Below are 5,603 nucleotides of genomic sequence, written 5' to 3' on the forward strand. Positions count from 1 at the left end.
GTTCATTATTGAAAGCCCACAATGTGCCAGGTAATGTGCAATATATTTGGAACATGTGTCACTTTCAATTCTCACTAAATAATATAAGAAAGGAATTATCTGCTCTATTTTACCAAATATGATATTAAGATTCCAAGAGGAGCTGGAATCTAGGTTTACGTGACTACATAGCTGATGATGCTCTTTCTACTTCTCTACCAAGATGTCTCATTCCAGAGGAAACACTAAAAAATAGTCTGTAGTTCGAAAAACTTCCAAAATCTTTTAAAAAACAGGATTTTAAACCAGTATCTTTGTAAGCATATTAAATAAAATCAAAGCTTGTGGTGGGGGTGGGATCCATGCCTCTTTAAATATAGCATTAGGTTGGACCATATAAAATAGTCATTTCTGTAGGTCAAAAAATGGCTGAGTAATGGCAATTTCATTTACTTCTAAACATAGCCTTGATACAGAAGGGTTTAGAAAACTTAATGTTGCATTTTAATATGCATATAAATAGTGAATAGTTCTACCTGATCTAAAGGGACTTTCTTTTAAAAGAAAATTTAAAAGCTAGAATGCAAAAACATAGTAAATAAGAGTTCAGGATCTCAAGACAGGATACCTATGTGAAATCCCAACTCAACCACTTAATAGTTGTATAAACTTGAGTAAGTTAACATATTTCTCTGTGTTTATTTGGGAGTCATAATTTTATTTACCTCCTAAGTATGCTTTGGAAATTAAATCATGGAATACATGTAATCACTTAAGACAGTGTCTAGCATATAAAAAACATTGAATAACATATTGGCTATTATTTAAACACCAACACTCATTGTTCCTTATAACCGTAGTCTCATATTTACAAAATCACATCATAGGACACACTTTTTTTTTTTTTGAGACAGAGTCTTGCTCTGCCGGCCAGACTGGAGTGCAGTGGCATGATCTCGGCTCAATGTAACCTCTGTCTCCTGGGCTCAAGCAATTCTCTTGCCTCAGCCTCCCTAGTAGCTGGGATTACAGGCATGTGGCACCATGCCTGGCTAATATTTGTATTTTTAGTAAAGACAGGGTTTTACCCTGTTGGCCAAGCTAGTCTTGAACTCCTGACCTCAGGTAATCTGCCCACCTAGGCCTCCCAAAGTTCTGGGATTACAGGCATGAGCCACCATGCCAGGACACACTCTTTTTTTTTTTTTTTTCAGACAGAGTCTTGCTTTGTTGCCCAGGCTGGAGTGCAGTGATGCAATCTCGGCTCACTGCAACCTCTGCCTCCTGGGTTCAAGTGATTCTCCTGCCTCATCTGTGTGCCACCACACCCAGCTAATTTTTTATATTTTTAGTAGAGACGGAGTTTCACTGTGGTAGCCAGGATGGTCTCGATCTCCTGACCTCGTGATCCGCTGGCCTTGGCTTCCCAAAGTGTTGGGATTACAGGCATGAGCCACCGCACCCATCGCAGGACACACTCTTTAGTAAATAAAAACTGCAAAAAGTTTATAAAAGCCTATTTTATACACAGCAACCTTGGGATAACTGGAGACTCAAAGAAGATATAGGCCTCCGTGATGCCTAATATTATCTCAGTGAGATCAAGCAAATATGAGGAGGCAGCAGTTAGGAGCTTCTTCTAGCTCCTTCTAGTTCTCCTTTCCTACTTTCCTGGATGCAAGCAGATCATTTTTAAATACAGGAAGTAAGAACTTCTGGCTGTACTGTTATCGACATGTCACTAAATCTTCTTATGAAAAGGAAGGCTATTGGTAGTTCAAGTGTCTGCTATGCTGCTGAGTTAATGGGCCGAGGTAATGGGTCTGAACCATATAAAGAATTACTGGCTTCTGGATGATTGCTATCCAGGTAACCCAGGTTTCTCACTAGTTATTTTCAGAATGCCCAGTCTGAGCTTAGTTATCATTGTTGCCCAAAGGTAGTAACCTTTTGTTTATCTCAATAATGCTGCAAAAAGAGAAAAGGAATAGGCGTACAAGGAGAACGTAAAATAGATCATAAATAGAAAATTATTTTTGATAAATTTGCTTCAAACATTTAGAAAGAAAATAACACATATGCATTTTTTTGTGTGCCAAGGAAAGTGACATAGGATCAGTTTTTGAATTCATGTTTAAACAACTCAGATCTTCATTAATGCGCTTGTGGTGACTGGTTTATGGCCTTTTTAAACTCTGATGTACACAGTAGAAATAATGTGGTGATCAAGATGAAGACTAAGATGAATGATTTAGAATGCAAGACAATGGAGGGCAAAAGGAACTAGGCATAAATATGAGTACAGCTTCAGTCACCACTAATGCCCTGTGAACATCTGCTTCTGGCTTTCTGTCATGAGCATTTGTGCAACAATTTCCAGATTTTACAGAACATCTTACTGCTTGACCTATATTACCATATTGTTTATGATATTGGAGAGGTAACAAACAGGTATTATTAGTCATGATACATAAGGTCTTAAAAAGTGTTGTTTCATATATTCTGTTTGACTTTTTAGTTAATACAGGCAGGAGGAAAATCAGTTTTCTTTTATTCCATCTTGGGCAGAAGCAGAAGTCCAACAAAGGACAATGTGACCAAATGTTTAACTACGTAAGGGTCATAAATTGAAAAGTACAAGTATGAAAAGAAGTAAAACAAGAAGCGTAAACAACCACACGGCTTATTGTTCTCAGGTAGAAGGAAGTCCCAAAATAGAGAGTACAAAGTTGGTTAAGGTGGCTCCATATCACCTGGGCTGTACCTATCTTTGTTTCAAACATCCATAGCATGTTTGTTGCTTAGCAGTTGCAAACCCCTTGCTATCTCCAGTATCATGTCTGCATTCCAAGAAGGAGAAATGAATGGTGAGCAGATATTTGTACAATCCAGATGTATAAATTTAAAAAAAGCCCGAGTTTATACCTAGTGATTTATGCTTATATCTCATTGGCCAGAATTATGTCATAGAGCCATCCCTAGCTGCAAGGGAAGTTGGAAAATATAGTTTTTGAAGTAGGGATATTGCTGCTCCAAATAAAAGTGGGGTCCAGAAGTAAGCATGAATAGAATAAATATTGTGATAGCATTTAGCAGGATCTGCAACAACTACTCAAAGAACTTTTCAATCATGTCAAAATTATCTTATTAGTTTAGCAACTTGGGAGACAGAGGAAGGGTATTGATTACACCTAATAATTGAGACCCAGTTTCCAGTTTCCAACAGTCCATGTTAAGTAATTTAAGGTGAATGAACTCTTAACAGAAAAAAAATGTGTTTTTATCATATTAGCTTTACATACATACACATACACATACACACATATATATGTATACATATAATATATATAAAATAAGTTACAGAGTTACAAGTGTTAGAGCATTTGAAATTTTTTAGGTATTTTAGGTAGGCCAATTAATAGGTAATTCAATGAGGTATCAAACAAACTGCATTTATTCCTGCTTTAAAATCCAAATAACTTAATGTGAGGCAAATCGTTTGTAATTCTTGTCAAAACAAAGCAAATGCTTTACCAAAGCAATTTTTTTTTCATAGTTTGTCAGAAGAACTCTCAATAATTTACAGAAATTTTAGACCCATTGAATTAAGTTCTGATGATATTGGGGAATCTAACCTATTCGTGGCATCCTTAATAAACCCACATAAGGCCATGAGCGGTGGCTTATTCCTGTAATCCTAGAATTTGGGAGGCCGAGGCAGGTGGATCACCTGAAGTCAGGAGTTCGAGACCAGCCCAGCCAACATGGCAAAACCCTGTTTCTACTAAAAATACAAACATTAGCTGGATGTGGTGGCACGTGCTGTAATCCCAGCTACTCAGGAGGCTGAGGCAGGAGAATTGCTGTAACCTGGGAGGTGGAGGCTTCAGTGAACTGAGATCGCACCACTGCACTCCAGCCTGGGAGACAGAGCGATACTCCATCTCAATCAACCAATTAAAAAACTCACATAAAATTGACAGTCACTGAACTTTGTTCATTTCTGTATCTACCATATGTATTAATCGTTATCACTTTCTATGTGCCAGACACTTACAAAAACCAGGTGAAATAGGTGCTATTGATTTCATTTTGTATTTAAGAAATCTATACATTCTAAACCTGCTTGTTGAAAACGTAAAGGAATAACAAGCATAAATCTCCAATGTTAACATTAGCTGGTAAATAAGAGGTCTTACATGGATATTATCCAGGTTTGGTAACAGAACAGAAAAGGTACTATGGGATTGTATTCTGTAATGGGTAAGGCAGCACAGCACTGGGATTACAAGCATAGACTGGATTTGAATCCCGACTTTCTCACTTAATAGTTGTAATCCTGGGAAAACTGCCTAACACGTCTATGCCTTAATTTCCCTATTTGAAAATGCAGATAATAGTACCTACTCAAATGGTGGCTAGAACTAAACTAAATTGATTAGTATTAGTAAAGTTTTTAGAGCAGTGCCATAGTGAGAACTCTATTATCTGCTGTTGTGTAACAAATTAATCCAAAGTACTTTAAAAAAACAGAACTTTAAAATAACAGAAATGAATGATAATTCTTTGCCAAAACAAGAATTATGGAAGGCAAACTGTTTATAATTCTTGCCAAAACAAGAATTAAGGTCTCTCATGAGGTGGATTCAACTAGTCAACTGTGGCTGCATCATCTCAAGACTTACTAAGGCTGGAGGGTTCATTTCAAGAAGGCTGTCTCACATAGCTGGAAATTCGTGCCTCCTGTCAGTGGGGGGTACCTTTCTGCCTCCATGTGGCTCTCATCTTCTAGGGTGTCTTTCTACACCTGTATTCACCAGAACAGCCTTCTTCACATGGTCTTCTTTATGTGGCAGCTGGGATCCAAAAGAGAAAGCCAGCAAGAGGGTGCATCCAAGAAGGAAGCTGATCTTTTTTAAACCTAATTTCAGAAATGACATCCCAGCACTTCTGCCGTATTATTCATTAGCATTGAGTCATTATCTCTTGCCCAAATTCAAGAGAATAGGATTACCCAAGGATGTTAATTCCACAAGGTGGGATCATTGGGTCCCACATCAGAGGCTGCCTACCTCAGTGAGGCACTATCTGTTAATTAAGATAAATATGAAGTATTGCTGTATTTCCTCATATATTTGAGTCTCTCCAAGGTCAAGTATACCGTCATTACCTAAAGGCTCATCTTAGATTACATTAATCAAATGAGTTTCTTAAAGAAGCAAAACATAATATATTGTTTTTTTGTCCAAAGACTAATATAAACTTTGTTAGAGAAATATTTATTAACCATCAACCAAAGGAATCCTGTTATGCAGGATTATTTACTAACTAGCTAGATTAGGTTAGCTTAGTTTCTGGCTCCATCGTGGTCAGAAGCCATGAATTAGTATTTAGAATTCTGAAGATACTGTTCATATGCTACAAGTTGTCTTTTCTAAATTAGAGAAGCCAGTGGAAAGCATATAAGCAATAGAAAGGATATAGAGAAATGTACATTTCGGGAACAACTAGGCAACAGCTACTGAGATTGAGTGCCTTGGCATCAAATCAGTTCCATCCTCACTTTCTTATTTATATGCCTGAAAAGTATACTCCAGACTAGTCCTGAATGAAAAAGTACATAG

The sequence above is a fragment of the Homo sapiens genome, chromosome 21 (assembly GCF_000001405.40).
Source record: "Homo sapiens chromosome 21, GRCh38.p14 Primary Assembly".
NCBI lineage: Eukaryota > Metazoa > Chordata > Mammalia > Primates > Hominidae > Homo > Homo sapiens.